The sequence below is a fragment of the Homo sapiens genome, chromosome 11, assembly GCF_000001405.40.
Source record: "Homo sapiens chromosome 11, GRCh38.p14 Primary Assembly".
Lineage (NCBI taxonomy): Eukaryota > Metazoa > Chordata > Mammalia > Primates > Hominidae > Homo > Homo sapiens.
This window is the reverse complement of record NC_000011.10, coordinates 10,883,413-10,900,792: the sequence shown is the minus strand read 5'-3', so window position 1 is coordinate 10,900,792 and position 17,380 is coordinate 10,883,413. Positions and strand designations below refer to the sequence as shown.

Below are 17,380 nucleotides of genomic sequence, written 5' to 3'. Positions count from 1 at the left end.
GAGACTTGATCCTAGGTCTCTCAACTTCCAACCCACTGCTCTTTCCACAACCAGGTATGAATTAAAACAGAATGAAACAGGAAAAGTTAAACATAATTCTCGACCGCGTCGAAGAATGAAAGGATCCCTATTGTATGTTAAAACTCAAAAGACAGAAGTATATAATTTGGGGATATATTTTAAACTTTACACAATCCTCCCACCCCTAGCTCTGAGTAGGAAAAAGGGTAAAAACAGAATCTGGGGTGAGAAGTCATCTGACTCATCCATGATGTGGTAAAGAATCTGTAAGCAAACACCCTGCATTTATTTCAAGTACTGTGTCTCATTCTGCCAGCCCTGGCAGCCGGCCCACTGCTTGTGCTTCAGGGGCCCTCCTTTGGAGACGTGCTCAGAGCCCTATTTTAGGAGGACAGAAGTGGCCTAAAACATGTGGCCATTAAGCTAGAATTTTAAAGGACACACACACACACACACACACACACACACACACACGGACACAGCAAGCTATCTGGTAAGCTGGTGGTTAAGAATCCGAATGTGTGCTCAAGGCCCCTCTGACACAGGCAGCCTTATCCACAGAACTTCATCCCTGTGTTTTGGCCTGTTCCAGGAAGAGCCAGCAAAGTTGCCTGCAAGAGAGAGCACGTGGCCTGAGGGGTGAACCAGGGACAGCCTCTGAAGAGCGAAGGATTTATCTGAGCAGCCAAATGTCCACTGACAGACAGGTCTGTGTGTGCTAGAGAAACTTGTTCCACAGCTCAGATGAAAAACGTATTGTGGAATTCACCCACAAGGGGAAGTGAGTTAATGACTGGGGCGTTTCATCTTCTGCCTAGATGCGTCATAAAATCAACTTGTAAAGCCTGGCTCAGAAAATACATTTACTCTCCCAGATGTGGTTCCATATAGGGCTATGAAACATTTCAAAGAGTGATCGCTCACAGAGGAGTGCGTTCTTAGGCTTTCTCTGTGCTGGGAGTGGGGCCGGTGGCCTGAGCCTGACAGCCCATCCAGGCTGTGGTCAAATTTGCTGACAAGCAGCCCAAATCTGCCCAGAGCATCTGCTCACATCTGGGATTGTGACTCATCTGCCTCTGTCTCCCCCAGCACTATTCACTCACTCCTGCAGGCCTGAGCATGTAAGCCCCACGGTGCCCAGGGCCCAGCGCCCAGACTTGTCCCTCCACCCAAGCACCCATCACGGCTTGTCCTTATCTCCAACACTGCCTGCCCCTCCCATTTAGACTTGGTCTGCTTTCCCAGCTCCAGGTTCAGGGCAAACCATGCTTAGACCTTCTTGGACTCAGCCTGAGCTATCATAAGAGGTTCCCAGGCTAAAACACATGCACAGTCTCCTGCACAGTGGTGTCTGTTCTGGCCCTTTAAATTTAGCAGATCCACACTCCCACCACGCCCAGCTGGCCCACCAGAGTGAGCCACAGGCAACACATGTTCTAAACCAACCCTGTTCACCCTGGACCTACTATTTTTGCACTCACCTCCCTGGTTCTCAGATTTCTGGCTCCGGTTCCCAGCTGCCATAGCCCCTTTGGTCCCTTCACTTTGGTGACCCTTTAGGCTTCCCTTTTTAGACCACAGCTGTCACATGTTTCTGACTCAACTTGCTTCTGCCATGCCAGCGTCACCCCTGGTCTCAGGTGAGTACCCCATGATTCAGGCCCAGACCCTGAAGACCCCCTCCCCTGAGATCACTCCCAGAAGAGGCGGAGGGTGAGGGATTTGTTCCTGGGGTCCCTGCCTGGCTTCTCACCTTCAGCCTTGCGTTGTCTTTCAATTCCAGCACCTGGACTTCCCTGGTCATGCACCCGGGCATTGGCCTCAACTTAGGTCCTGATCCTCGGAGTCCCTCACTCACCTGGGACAGCTCTGTCCCGAACTCAGTTTCTGATTTCATGCTGGTCTTGCCCCAGTTACACCAACCCACCCCCCTCCCTATCTCATTGAGGTCAGAGTGGAGGAGGCTCTCAGGCTTCTGAAGGGAGGGAGGCAACACTGCCTCAAATGGAGCCCTGATGGGGCTCAGAGCCTGTGGGGAGTCTCACAGCTACCTGGGAATCTTTCTGTCCCTGGAGACAGCACAAGTCAAGGCACTTGAGGACTCTCAGTTGTGTGTAGGGAGGAGGATGCTGCTCCAAATAGCGCAGACAAGCATTCAGTTCTAAAACCTCAGAGCTCAGAGCAGCTGAAGAGCAGAGGCAGCCCTCTGGTCCCACATGGCTCACATTCTCTTCCTTGTCCGCCTGACTCCATGTGTGACTTTAGCAACATGTCTGTCGAGGATGTTCTACCCCTAGCCCCTGCACCAGCAAACAAATAAGTCCTCCCAAGGCTCCCCATGCCTGATGTCTCCATTCCCTCCACTCCAGAAGGAGCAGAAACAAGGGCCTGCTCCCCTCCTCCTCCTCTCCAGCCCTCATCACTCCCTTCCCTGGGGGCCAAGGCACTCAAAAACCATCTTCCCCTAAAAGCTCAGGGACTCACTTGGTTTTCTTTCCCAGAAGCCCTAAAGATAGTAGCTTTGCTTAATGAGAATGCCCCATGGTGAAATGGTGAGGACCAAGACTCTGGTGCCTGGTCCACAGGGGAATTCCAGCTCTGCCTCTTGCTAGTGATGAGACCCTAGACATGTGATGGAACTTCTCTATAGTGTTTCCTCATCTCTGAGGTTGGAAAACTAATGGTCCCCACCCCACTGCATTGCTGTGAGCCATATACGCATTAATTAGTGTAAAAATGGTGCCTCCATGTAATAAGTGCCGTGATGCACAAGCTCTCATTTATTGATTTTTCACTGTATGTGAGGCCTTACTCTAAATACCTTACATCCAATAATTCGTTTTTCCTAAGCAAAGTGAAATAGAGACAGAAGGATCATTTTATAATTCTAATTTAAATTATCATTAATATTTATTGCATAAGTTCCATCAACAGGAGTTGAAATGCATTGTTGAAATTCATCACAATATTTGCTACTTTAAAGAATCAAACTGTTTTTACTTTTTTTTCTTGTGCTCTCTCTCCTGGCCTTGTAAGGTTTATGCATAATAAATATTCATATCTGGTCAAAAAATAAACTAAGTTGTAAAAGGTTAGAGAATTTCCCTATCTGAACACGCAAACCCAGTGTGTAAAGATGACAAAAATAAACCACCCAGGGGACAGAAACTCCCAGTAGTGCCCCTCCTATGGATACAGGCCTGTATCATAGTATGACATAGTACAGGCACAATTCTGTATGTATCTCTTTTTTTTAGAAACAGGTTCTCACTGTGTCACCCAAGCTGGAGTGCAGTGGCCCTCTCAAAGGTCATTGCTCACTGCAGCCTCAAACTCCTGTCAAGTGATCCTGTCACCCAGCCTCCTGAATAGCTAGGACTACAGGCATGCACCATCACGCTCAGCTAATTTTTAAATTTTTTTGTAGAGATGGGGTCTTGCTATGTTGCCCAGGCTAGGCTCAAATTCCTGGCCTCAGGCAATCCTCTCATCTTGGTCTTTCAAAGTCCTGGAATTACAGGAGTGAGCCACCATACCCTGCCCTGTATCTTTTGACTTAACATTAAATCATAAACAGTTTCCATGTTGCTGTATAGCCTTTGAAAGTATCACTTCAATGACTGTAGAATAACTCATTTAGTTGAATTACTATAATTGAACTGACATCATTATTGAATAATGGTAGGGTTTTTTTGCTATTACAAATGATTCTGTAGTAAACTCTTAGCAGAAATGACATTTTTTTTCTTTCAGGTGATTTCTTAGGCTAATTCTCAGAGATGGGGTTATTGGGCCAAAAAAGCAAACTATGGCTTTCCGAAGCTCTCATTGTTCCCATTATGTCATGCATCCCTGAGATGCAGTCAGCAGAGGATTCTATTTGAGGGACTAAACACTCCCGGGGAAAGCAGGAAGAAGGAGACGGGAACTAACATTTGCTATTGAGCGCCAGGCATCGTCCTACAGGCTTCGAAGTGAACCTTGGATGTGCTGCTGATCTGACCTGCCCAGATTTGTCATCATTGTTATTGTCTTGGCCTCTTATGAAGACGTTCACCCAGCAGGACTTCAGAAGCTTTGTTCACTCGATCTCATTTAATCCTCACAATAGTGCCCTAAGGAAGATATTAGTATCCCCATTTTACAAAGGAGGAAACGGGAACCTGGGGAGATTAAGCGAAGGCCTCACAGATCATGAATAGAAGAGGCTGGAAACCTAGTCTGGTTCAAGGGTGTGCTCTTTCTGCTCTGCCATGCTGTGCTTCAGCCCTTCCCCACTCTCAGCCCCATGTGCACGCAGATAGGGATTTTCACTCTTTGCCCTGTATGAAAGGAGGGAAGGTAAGACACATGAGCCTAGGGGGAAGGTCCATCTGCAGGACTACCCTGAAGGGGATGGGACATTCCTGGCCCTCAGCCTACAAACTCTTTCCTTTTATTTCCTGCTGGTGAAAAGCATAATTTAAAGATGACTTTGTTTTATACATACACATACATACAATCACACACACACACACACACACTCACTCACTCCAAGAAGAGGGCTCTCTGTAAATAAAAGACCTGTCACCTATCAAAGATGCTAACCAAGGACTTACCAAATGTCCTTTGATGCTAAGTATCTTTCAGAAAAGTTATTACTCAACCTGAGTCCACGGACTAGGCCTATCCTTATGTTAAAATAATTCTCTCATGGAATTATTTGATTTGGCCCAACATCTACCAGCTTTGCACATATTTCAATATTTCAATTAAACCACCAAACCTCAGTCTATATTAATTCCAGCCTTTTTTTTTTCTACTAAAGGGGACCTTCATTATTTCCCTGCATGTTTGAAATTATTGTCTCTCGGCCAGGCGAGGTGGCTCACGCCTGTAATCCCAGCACTTTGGGAGGCTGAGGTGGGCGGATCATGAGGTCAAGAGATCAAGACCATCCTGGCCAACATGGTGGAACCCTGTCTCTACTAAAAAAAATTACAAAAATTAGCTGGCTGTGGTGGCACACGCCTATAGTCCCAGCTACTCGGGAGCCTGAGGCAGGAGAATCGCTTGAACCTGGGAGGAGGAGGTTGCAGTGAGCCGAGATCGTGCCACTGCATTCCAGCCTGGGTGATAGAGCAAGACTCTATCTGAAAAAAAAAAAAAGAAAAAAGAAAAGAAATTGTATTCAAAACACACTGAATTCATAAAATTCCAGATGCTGCTCAATGATGCCTCTGGGCCAGTGACATCCTGGCTATCTTAGTTAAGACTACAAAGGAACAGGGTGGAACTGAGGCTACAGCTGGAGAGGGTTACGAAAGCACAGGGACTGGCACCAAGAAAACTCAGATTTACTGGAATGAGTATGTTAGAGCCACTGCTGCATGTGGCAGGAGATCATTTCAATGGCTCCATGAACTGAGTTTTGCAATGTGTAGAACTGTGTAGACTGTTTGTCAGGCCTCTTTCAGATGCAAGTGAGAGAAACCTGACTAGCTAATGCAGAGGTAGGATTTATTGGCCCCTAGTTGAAAATTCTAGGGGTAGTCCTCAAGTGTAACTGGGTTCAAGTGCTTAAATGATATCAACAGGAATTTGTCCCCATCTTTTGGCCCTCTTTTCAGGGTGGTGATGAGATGGCCACCAGGCCTATTTCACAGAAATTTCAGCAGAAAGAAGAACTTATTGCCCGATTGTTCCATTAAAAGTCCCAGAACTAACTCTCAATTGGCCTAAATTGGCTCATTTGCCAGATATCCTCAGCTTGACCTCCAAATCTACTCTCTCCTCTTCTTTGAGCTTGGTAGCTGGGAGGTTGGCCACTCTCTACTCTTCTTCCAGCTCGGTAGGTGAGAGATTGGATATATCAATGGCTCCTTTCCTCTGTGCCTTGCCTTGGGTATTGTCAATAGTGAGACCAGTGGGAGGCTGGAGGAAGAGATAAGAATGAAGTCAGGATGTTAATTTCCCCCAGCACCCCTTGCAAGGGTCCACATGAGCTGGCTATATCTCTCAGCCAATAGTCACAGGTCCTGCCTGCAGCTTCTCCATACATCTTCTCTCTTTGAGTTCCAGTAATGGCTTCCCAGTTTTGCCTCTGCAACCTAAAAGCAGTACTATGCCCTACTGTGAGCAGCCCCAGAAACTGCACTATCCTTTACGGTTTTCCCACACTCCACCTACACCTCCATGGAAGGGTTATTTGATAACCGATTTTGAAAGTGTCATCTGTTTCCAAGATCCTGACCGATACAGCTAACATGTCCATCCCTAAGACAAATCCATGTGTCTCACTGGGCAGGCCTACCCCTGGGACAAAGGTCTGAAATTAGCTCCATCAAAACCACAGGTACTGAGAGTGGAAGTATGGTAGTCCCCCAAAGGGACAGACAAAAACAACCTATGATCACCACATTTATCAAAGTAGACAAGAAAGAATTCTAATCAGCAGTATTAGGCTACCCAAGCATTCTTCAGAAGCAGTAACTACATATAAATAAGGATAAATTTCAGAGACTAAACACATGCTGAAACAGCATTCAGGGTGTCTTTCATCTATGTACACTCAAATCAACGCCTTTTAAAGACCTGGTCACTCATTTTCTGAGCTCTAGGTCTGTTGATAACTCTCTTCTGAAACAAATTGAAATTTCTATCATCAATTCACTTTGAAATGTCATAAAGCAGCTTAGGCCTTGGCTGGCTGAGCAATAAAGCAGGCCCTCTTGGCAGCTCAGATGAGCTGCCCCTGACAGCAAGACAGGGGACATGGCATTAAACATTGCCAAGAATGAACAATTTGGAAGCTGCCTAGTGGCAGGAATGACAAGGCTGAAATCATAACCACTTTGAAAAACATGACATCAGTTGAAAAATAAACATAAAATGGGGCAATAGCAACCTCATCACAGAGCTGTAAATGCTTAGAAGAACATCTGGCCTGATATCCCATGAAGCTGCTCTGTCTCAGCAGAAAATTCTTTTTATAAATGATTAACCCTGATTATAATGATTGACTGTCCCATGGATGAGTCACCTTGCAGGTAAAACTATGGACCACAACCCAAGTGAATCTCAGCATTTCTTTCCATTACCCAGAAGTAGTGAGGATCTTAGTTACCTTGTCCACCAACCCCATGTTTTGACAGAGCCTGCACTGTACCTTTTTAATGGACATGTTGACATTCAATAACATGCTAAGGATACCTGGCTTTCCTCATCAGTTTTCTCAGTAAAGCCTCTGATGCCGCTTTGGTTAAATTCAGGAATATGCTTTTGCCAGAAGGAGAAGCCTCCTGAGCCAGTCATGTGCCTCTCCTGGCTCCACTAATAACTCCTTTCTAATACAATTCCTTTGCAGTTCTCTTCACCTGTAAAGACACTTGGATTTCAGCTCTTTGTGGAAGAGGGATCTAAAGGATCCATATGCTTCAGTCCTCTGGAATCTAGGAAATAAGGAAGTTTGGGGCCCAGAGAAAAAAGAAATTCAAAGGCTGTAGCCAGTGGAATCCTTTAGCCACACCTGGGACCCATAAGGATAATGTAGAGACTGTGGTCATAAGACACAAACAGACTAGAGTGTGTGACCTTGAGCAAGTCACATCTTCATGAATTTGAGCACTATTAGTATTACAGTTATTATTGATTCCAAGACACTAATAATATGGTAAGCATTAAAAATGTTATAAAATATTATAAATAATAAAATAATAAATGAGTTTTCTGAGCCAGGCAGTTCTGATTGGCATGTCCAAGGACATTCCTCCTTTGGAGGACCCATCTAAGCAAAAGTTATCAATCTTAGAAGACAGAATAGTGTAGTGGAATCAGGCCAGACAGGTTTCATCTCACCAGCCACATCCACTTGATTGGCGGTAGCTCCTTGGGGCCCTGTATTCAAAAGGATTCTGAGGTCATATTTGGGTTCAAGAGGGAAGAATGCCCTGATCAATGGGTACAAGAGGAGGGTCTGGCACCTTGTATGACATCCCTGTTGTTGACTGAAAGCATTGAGCTTGACAGTCAATTCTTGGAGGCAGGAACATGTATTCACCCTTGCTTCAGTAACAAAAAACAACCGCACAATTTCAGTGGCTTAGAAGCACAGATGTGTATTTCTCACCACATGGAGGATAAGGCTATGGGCTAGGGCTAGACAGAGTCCTCTCCACCTTTCTTCTTATGCCAGGACCCAGGCAGAAAGGTCCAAAACATGCTCAGCTCGTGGCAGAGAACAGAAACATCAATGGCCAAGCCAAATCAGGCAATCATGTCTACAGCTTCTGCTCAGATATAGCATATGTCATATTGCTAACATTTCATTGGCCAAAGCAAGCCATATGGCCAAGCCCTGAGTCAATGGAAAGAGGAAATATAATTCACTTGCTAAGAAGGAGGAAGTGAATGACTGCAATTAATCTACCAGATGGTGTCTGAGAAAGATACTTTCCGTATTAAGATGCTCTATCTGTTTTTTCTTATTTTTTCTACAATACATATATATTATATATAATACAGCTGGAATTCTTCAGAAAATATGTGGGTTTCATAAACCAAAAATAAAATTCTAAGCTCCCCACCAAACTGAATGGACTACCCTCAAACCTGCCTGCTTCCTTGGTAGAATGCCCAACCAAGGGCATTCCAAAGTTATCCTGAAAAACTAGGTCAGGCCATGATGGGTAGGGAGAACAAGATATGTCTCATTATCCCCTCTTCCCTTTGGAATTCAGGCACAACTGACCAGCATTAACAGTCTATGGAACCCTGGTAAAGTTGGTGAATAGGTGTCTTCTAGGAAAGCAATTTCAACAGGAAGCCAAGCATTAATAAATTATAGAATAAATATTTATCAAGTACCTACAAGGCACTAGATACCATGTCAGGTGGTATAGGTATGCTATTGTACAACAAGAGAAAGATACCTGGTTTCTGAACTCATGGAGCTAGGTTGAATGATGGCAACAGACCACAATCAAATCTTAAATGGATGCTCAAGCTTCTTTCAATCCAAGACCACTTTCCTAGCATTCACATTCAAAATGAGTAGGTCCCATCTTCTTCTCCTTCTTCAAATTCATTGCCCCAATACTTGCCCCTATACCCAGCAGATAATCTACCCTCCTGACTCATTTTTTTGAAAAAGAGCAATTAACAGACCTCCCTCATCTTCTCAACAAAATACCAACCTTCTTTTCTCATTCAGTACATATTTGCTTTGCTTTCTTTCTTTCACAATAGAAAAAATATCCCTGTCCCATCTAAATTCCATCCCCTCTGGCATTCTCAGTCTTCACTCCTGCAATTGTCCCATTTCTCTCCACATTCTCTCTCTCTACTAGATTATTTGCATTGTTACACAAACATGTTGTAGTTGAGGAAGTGGAGGGGAACACAATTTCCCTCTCCAAGGAAAATTTGGAAATGAATGATGATGCATTTTGATGTCACAGTGACCATGGAGCCCTAGTGGTATTTGGTGGAGGCCAGGGGATTATGTTCTATCTTATTTTAAAAAGGAGAACTTCCTTAAACCTTGCAATCTCCTTCAACTATTATGAACTACTCAAACCCACCACAGGAAAACTTCTTGATAGAGTTATATATGAACACCGTCTCCACCCCATCATCTCACAATCTCTTCTCAGCCCACTCCAATCAAGTTTCTGCCCCCATCACTTACCAGAAACTGTTCCTTTTTTTTAATTTAACTTTTAAGTTCAGGGGTATATGTGCAGGTTTGTTACATAGGTAAACTTCCATCAAAGGGGTTTGTTGTACAAATTATTTCATCACCCAGGTATTAAGCCTAGTACCCAATAGTTATTCTTCCTGATCCTCTCCCTCCTCCCACTCTCCACCCTCAAGTAGGCCTAAAGTCTGTTGTTCCCTTCTATATGTTTATGAGTTCTCATCATTTAGCTCCCACTTATAAGTGAGAACATGCAGTATTTGGTTTTCTGTTCCCGTTAGTTTGCCAAGGATAACAGCCTCCAGCTTCATCCATATTCCTGCAAAGGACACGATCTCATTCTTTTTTATGGCTACATAGTATTCCACAGTGTATATGTACCACATTTTCTTTATCCAGTCTATCATTGGTGGGCATTTAGGTTGATTCTATGTCTTTGCTATTGTGAATAGTGCTGCAATGAACATAAACATGCATGTATTTTTATGTACACATGCATGTACTTATATTCCTTTGGATATATACCAGTAATGGGATTGCTGGGTCAAACGGTATTTCTGTTTTTAGGTCTTTGAGGAATTACCACACTGTCTTCCACAATGGTTGAACTAATTTACATTCCCACCAACAGCATATAGGTGTTCCTTTTTCTCTGCAACCTCTCCAGCATCTGTTATTTTTTGACTTTTTAATAATAGCCATTCTGACTGGTGTGAGATGGTATCTCATTGTTGTTTCAATTTGCATTTCTCTAATGATCAGTGATGTTGAGCTTTTTTCCATATGCTTGTTGGCCACATGTATGTCTTCTTTTGAAAAGTGTCTGTTCATGTCTTTTGCCCACTTTTTAATGAGGTTATTTTTTTCTTGTAAATTTAAGTTCCTTATAGATGCTGGATATTAGATCTTTGCCAGATGCATAGTTTGCAAAAATTTTCTCTCATTCTGTGGCTGTCTGTTTATACCAGAGACTGATCTTTTCAAATATTGACAAAGTGGTGGTCACTTCTTGGTCTCCATCCTACTTGACGTCTCATAACATTTGACCCAACTAACTAATCCTTCCTTCTTGAAAGGTTGTCTAAACTAAAATAGGTATCTCAGGCTTAAAAAACAAACAAACAAAAAGAACACTTGATTTATTTTCCTCCACCAAGGAACTAGCCAAACAAACAAACAAACAAACAGACCTGCTACTCCTCCTCTTGAACCCATCTTTGCAAAATTATGACTGAGACAGTGAAAGAGATCTAACCTAGCTGACTCCATCTTGTTACTAACCTTTAAGCTGTCCTTGTTCATTTCTGGGCATAGGCTGAACTAACTTTGGGAGAAACTTAGTTTATAGTTTAAAACAGAGATGATAACAGCCCTTTCCCAAAACAAACCTCCTTCTTCCCTGAGGACTAGACTGCCTTTGTAGGACTAACAAATTAGCCACAAGATTCGAAATTATGGTTTAGGAGTCATGCAGCTGGAGACTACAAGATTCTGACCCTCCCTAAACTGCTCCTAAGATCATTGCTTGAGATATTTTGCAGACCCTGCACATGATGGATCAGCTGGCACCACCCAGATCAATAAATTGGCTCATCTAATCTTGTAGTCCCTACCCAGGAACTGACTCAGTGCAAGAAGACAGCTTTGACTCCCTGTGATTTCTGACCTGAACAATCAGCACACTTGGCTCACTGGTTTCCCCCCACCCACCAAGTTGTCCTTAAAAATTCTGATCCTTAAAAACTCTGTCCTTAAAAACTCTGATCCTTGGGGAGACCGATTTGAGTAATAATAAAACTCCGGTCTCCTGCACAGTCAGCTCTGCATGAATTACTCTTTCTCGATTGAAATTCCCCTGTCTTGATAAATGGGCTCTGTCTAGGCAGCAGACAAGGTGAACCCACTGTCGGTTATGCTCTTCTTGTCTGAGGAAATACTACAAAGGTAAAACCAAAAAACTAAACAAAACAAACAAACAAAAAAAACCAAGAGTCATCCCTGAGTCCTCTGTTCCATTCCCTACAGAAACTCATCAGTAAGTTCTATCCACTCTATATACAAAATATATCTTAAAAGCCTACACTTCCCTAATCTTCATTTTTGCCCCCCTGGTCTAAGCCATCAACATCTCTTGCCTGCACTATAGAGAAAGCCTTACCCCTTTCCCTACCTGTCTATGACCCATTCTTAAAACAGTCCCCAGAGTGATCTTCTTAAATTGTAAATCTCATGCTTAAAATCCTCCACTAAATATTTATATCATTGGCAATAAAATCCACATTCTTACCTTATTTTACAAAGCCCTTGCCCACTTCTCTGACTCCCCTTGATACCACTGTTAGCCATACTAGTCTTCTTTCCATCCTTTAAATACCAATCTCATTCGTACCTTTTTGTGCAGCAAATGTTAAGGAATTTATTGCATAAAAGATAAGCTTAAAGTAGATGTTAGTGGGCAATTAGATGGATTGAATATCCACAATGTACCACTTTATATTAGAAAGCACATATGAACAGAAAGACAAAGAAAGTTATTATATATATTGGTAAAAGGATCAGTCCATCAAGATGGTATAACAATTATAAACACATATATATGTAATAACAGAGCCCTAAAATATGTAAAGCAAAACTGACAGAATTGAAGGCAGAAATGACAGTTCTACAGTAACAGTTAGAGACTTCAATACTCCCACTTTTGATAAAGGATAGAACAATTATTAAGAGATCAACAGGGAAACAAATGAAGGACTTGCCAACAAAACTATAAGCCAACTAGACCTAACAGACATATACAGAACACTCCACCCAACCACAACAGAGTACACATTCTCTCAAGTACACATGGAACATTCTCTAGTATAGACTATGTGCTAGGCCACAAAACAAGTCTCAATAAATTTTAAAAGATTAAAATCTGTTCCACCCTGAGTAGGTCTATGTAAACCTACCCCTAAAGGCCAAGAGGCCAAAGAAAGAGTCTAGCAAATCCAGTTTCTCAGAAAGAAACTGTTTGTTTGTTTGTTTTATAAACACAAGGTCTCGCTCTGTTGTCCAGTCAAGAGTGCCGTGGCATGAACATAGCTCATTTCAGTCTCTAACTCCTAGGCTCAAGCAATCCCCCCACCTCAGACTCCTGAGTAGCTGGGACTACAGGCACGTACCACCACACCCAGCTATTTTTTGTTATTTTTTGTAGAAACAGGGTCTTGCTATGTTGCCCAGGCTGGTCTCAAACTCCTGGCCTCAAGCAATCCTTCAGCCTTGGCTTCCAAAGTGCTGGGATTACAGGCATAAGCCACTGCTCCTAGCCAGAAAGAAACATTAAAAAGGGACTTACAAACAGAAGCTCTGACTCAGGCAGCCACAAAACAGTAGATCCCTGCACCATTAACCCCCAGACTCAGGGCTTATATACCACAGGGAAAGGGTATATGTGCTTCATATATCTATTTAAAAAATGCATCATCAAGGTTGTTTTGACCTAAGGGCAGGGTTTATGGTAAGTATGTGCTCTTCACAGTAGATAAACTAGAAATCTCAGAGGCATTCCCAGAACTGGAGTTAATCAGAAGTCAACATAGCAGATTAGCATCCAAAATGGAGTTGCTTCTGCCTCTACAAAATCATATAAAGAATCTTCCCCAACAATAATGCAATGAAACTAGAAATAAATGACATAAGGAAATCTGAAAATGCACAACTATATGGAAATTAAACAACACACTCTTTAACAATCAATGTGTCAAAGAAGTGATTGGCAAAATTTTGAAAATTCTGCCTCTTTGAGCAATCTAGTAATTATAGTACCTACGACCTTAATATCCTAAAAGCCACTATTGGATGATGTTCTAGGAAATGATCTGTGTCCCTATACAAGTCAGATTGTGCTGAATAACAAACCATTCTAAAACTCTGTCATGCAGCAATAAGCATTTATTCTCATGTTCACAAGTCTTCAGATAGAATAATAGGCTGCTTCAGGCTGCAGCTCTGTGAAGAAACTATGGATAGCCAGGCTGAAAGAGCCACAGCCCCCGGGGCATTTTCTTCTCATGGCAGAGGACAAAAGCTCATAGAGCAATGAGGGAAGGTACATAATTCCTCTTAAGGCCTAGGCTCAGATCTTATATGATATCACTTCTACCCACATTCCACTGGCCAAAGCAAGTCACACAACCAAGTCCAACATCAGTAGGAAAAGGAAGAATACAACCCTACTATAGGAGTTAGAGCGGAAGGAATGAATATTTGCTGAACAACAATCTACTACTTCACAGCCCTCTTAGAGAAAAGCTTTGAGAAATGGTGCTATGGTTACTGCTATGGATGCCAAACAATAATATCTTGTTATCAACCATGTTGGTTATAAGTGAGTAAGACTCGTCTTCTTACTGTATTTGTAACTACTAAGAACCATTTAGAAATGTCAGATTCTTCAAAGCTATTTTACCCGATTCAATCAACAAGTATTCAACTCACCAATTTTTTCTTAGCTGAACAGCATTATCAGCTCAAGAAAAACTTTTGCTTCAATGTAATTTAGTTTCTAGTACTGGATAAGAACTTTTTAAAATGTCTGTAGACTATATCAAAGCACCAGAAGTGGATCTGACACCATCAATAGGGACTGAATTAATATGCCTTTTCTGAAAATCTTCCTAAAAGAAAAATCTCTCTGACATCTGAATTTTAGACTTATTGTAGAAAATTTCAATCCTTCGAAAGAATCTTTGTGAATTTTATCACTACTAAAGTAAAAAGTATCCAATATAAATACAATACAGAGTCTAATCTTTCCTGGCCTTGAAGACCTCGATATGTTGCTAATAATTGCAATAAAAAAAAAAACTCATTGTGAATGATAACCTTATCTTGAATTCTGCATTAGTCAGTCAGTTAATGATACATAGCCTCCTTTGATGCTACAACCATCCTTCCAATAGCTCTCCCACAAAGATTTCCATTTATTTGTTTGATTTCAAACTTGGTGAAAAGAAATTTTTATCTTAATTTCATACCAGAAAACATGAAAGAAGTAATGAAAACATGCTGAAAAGGATAGATAGTTTTTAAACAGGACCTTAAAAACCAGACTCAATCCCTGCTGCCAAATTCAGTGAGGGATTGTTTAGAGTAAAAACAGAGCATTGCTCTGGGATTGAGCCAACTAGAAAGACTGATACACCATGACGTCTCTGGCTTGTATAACCTCCCTGCCCTTGATGTGAACTCTGGAAGGAAGCAGCACAACCAAAGTTGACAGTGAGGTGAAGAGTGCACCTCCAAGTCATAAAGTACCTAAAACCTCACTATTCAAGTCAACTAGTTGGGAGAAAGATCCATCCAAACTAGTGCAAAGTCCAAATTCCCATTATTTCCAAATAGAAGAAATACTTTTGGATTTAAAAAAATGACAAATGGAATCAAAGTTTTTCCACTTTTTCCAAAAATGCCATTGAAATAATAAAGATATAAAAAGAAAAAAAAATACCAACACTAAAAAAATCAGGAAGAATTCTATGACCCCCAAATAAATGTTGAATTTCTGGAAGATATGAAGCAGACAGGACAAATATAATTCTTGATGTATATTTTTAACATATGTCTAAATATAAATATTTGATTAATGGAGCAAACTGACAAAAAGACAGTTAGTGCCAAGGGTGAGCACTCAACACAGGCAGAAGAGAATAGGGAAGTAAGTAGATAGGTTTCCCCAAAAGACCTATATAAAAAAAAAAATCAGACTTAGCACAGCAACAACATAAAAAGTAGGCTGGGGGAAGCTCAAGAGAATTACACTAAAAGACTTACATTTTAGAATTGTGTCACTGTCTCATATGCTAGACCTACAGACCAGTACTTCTAAATGTGTGAGGCCTGTGAGATAAAAACTATTTTCAAAATAATACTAAGCTGTTATTTGCCTTTTTCACTGTATTGACATTTGTTTTGATAATTGTTGCAGGAAGCCAGGCACCCCGAATGGAGAGACCAGCTGAAGCCGCGGCAGAAGAACAAAAATTGTGAAGATTTAATGGACATTTATCAGTTCCCAAAATTAATATTTTTATAATTTCTTACGCCTGTCTTTACTGCAATCTCTGAACATAAATTGTGAAGATTTCATGGATATTTATCACTTCCCCAATCAATACTCTTATAATTTCTTATGTTTGTCTTTAATCTCTTAATCCCGTCATCTTTGTAAGCTGAGGATGTATGTCACCTCAGGACCCTGTGATGATTGCATTAACTGTACAGATTGTAAAACGTGTGTTTGAACAATATGAAACCAGTGCACCCTGAAAAAGGACAGAATAACAGTGATTTTCAGGGAACAAAAGAGATAATCATAAGGCCTGACTGCCTGCGGGGTTGGGCAGAACACAGCCATATTTTTCTTCTCGCAGAAAGCCTATAGATGGATGTGTGAGTAGGAGAAATATTGCTGAATTCTTTTCCCAGCAAGGAATATTAATAATTGATAGCCCTGGGGAAGGAATGCATTCCTGGGGGGAGGTCTATGAACGCCTGCTCTGGGATTGTCTGTCTTATGTGGTTGAGATAAGGACTGAAATACACCCTGGTCTCCCGCAGTGCCCTCAGGCTTGCTAGGATTGGGAAATTCCAGCCTGGTGAATTCTAGTCAGACCGGTTGTCTGCTCTCAAACTCTCTTTCCTGTTAAGATGTTTATCAAGACAATGCATGCACAGGAGGACATGGACCCTCATCAGTAATTCTAATTTTGCCCTTGCCTTGTGATCTTTTATTGCCCTTTGAAGCATGTGATCCTTGTGACCTACTCCCTGTTCGTACATCTACTCTCCTTCTAAAATCCTAATAAAAACTTGCTGGTTTTGCAGCTCAGGGTCGCCATCACGGTCCTACCAATATGTGATGGCACCCCCAGAGGCCCAGCTGTAAAACTTCTCTCTTTGTACTCCTTCTCTTTATTTCTCAGACCGGCCGACACTTAGGGAAAATAGAATCTACGTTGAAATACTGGGGGGCTGGTTCCCCCAGCAGATAATGCAAAAAAAAATTGTGGTGCAAAAGTAATTGCACCAACCTAATATAACAGAATAACTGAGACTACATGATTTATAAGGAACAGAAATTAATTATCTCACAATTCTGAAAGTTGATCAAGGCATTGGCAGGTGAAGGCCCAGTTTCTCTGCTTCCAAAATGGCACGTGAATGCTGTGTCCTTTGAAGGGGAGGAAGGCCAGGTCCCCACATGGCAGAAGAGCAGAAATGAGAGAAGGCCACTCTCATTCCTGTGAGCCCTTTTATAACATCATTAATCCATACACCTCCCAATACTGTTGCCATAGGGATTAAGTTTTCAACACATGAATTTTAGAGGAAACAATAACATTTAAACCAAAGCAGACACTTAACTGATACTAATAGTCATTATATTCTTTATCGCCAGGTACTCACAGGAGGGGGAAAAAAACTGTTTCACATAAGAATGCCCTGGTGAAGCAGTAAAAATTATTAATGTCATCAAAATCTCAACCTTTGGGTCTTTTAACATTCTGTGTGACCAAATGGGATGTATAAGGCACTTCTATTGAATACCAAAATCTAATGATTATCTCAAGAAAAAGCACTTGTACAATTAATTGTTTGAGCTGCAAGCTGAATTAGCTGCTTTTTTTACGGAACACC

General features: G+C 41.8%; 2 long non-coding RNA genes across 2 annotated transcripts in view, besides 2 other annotated features; both read left to right on the top strand.

The window, feature by feature from the left end:
* Window positions 1-652, top strand: part of LOC107984309 (uncharacterized) — a 31,528-nt gene extending 30,876 nt beyond the window's left edge. Inside the window, exon 3 of the long non-coding RNA XR_007062590.1 lies at window positions 614-652. This is a non-coding gene — a long non-coding RNA (uncharacterized LOC107984309). The remainder of the gene's footprint in view (window positions 1-613) is intronic.
* Window positions 372-1,571: an enhancer, noted in NCBI's record as "P300/CBP strongly-dependent group 1 enhancer chr11:10920769-10921968 (GRCh37/hg19 assembly coordinates)". NCBI's record gives its function as "activates an origin of replication core promoter dependent on BRD2, BRD4, P300/CBP, MED14 and CDK7 cofactors, with strong dependence on P300/CBP, by STARR-seq in HCT116 cells {active_cell/tissue: HCT116}" and the evidence as "EXISTENCE:reporter gene assay evidence [ECO:0000049][PMID:35650434]".
* Window positions 1,150-1,219: an enhancer, noted in NCBI's record as "active region_4453". NCBI's record gives its function as "activates an Ori minimal core promoter by ATAC-STARR-seq in GM12878 lymphoblastoid cells {active_cell/tissue: GM12878}" and the evidence as "EXISTENCE:reporter gene assay evidence [ECO:0000049][PMID:35858748]".
* On the top strand, window positions 1,460-16,634 carry LOC124902629 (uncharacterized). Its single transcript, XR_007062588.1, has 2 exons — window positions 1,460-1,661; window positions 15,669-16,634. It is a non-coding gene; the product is annotated as an uncharacterized LOC124902629 (long non-coding RNA).
* The last annotated feature ends 746 nt before the right edge of the window (window positions 16,635-17,380 follow it).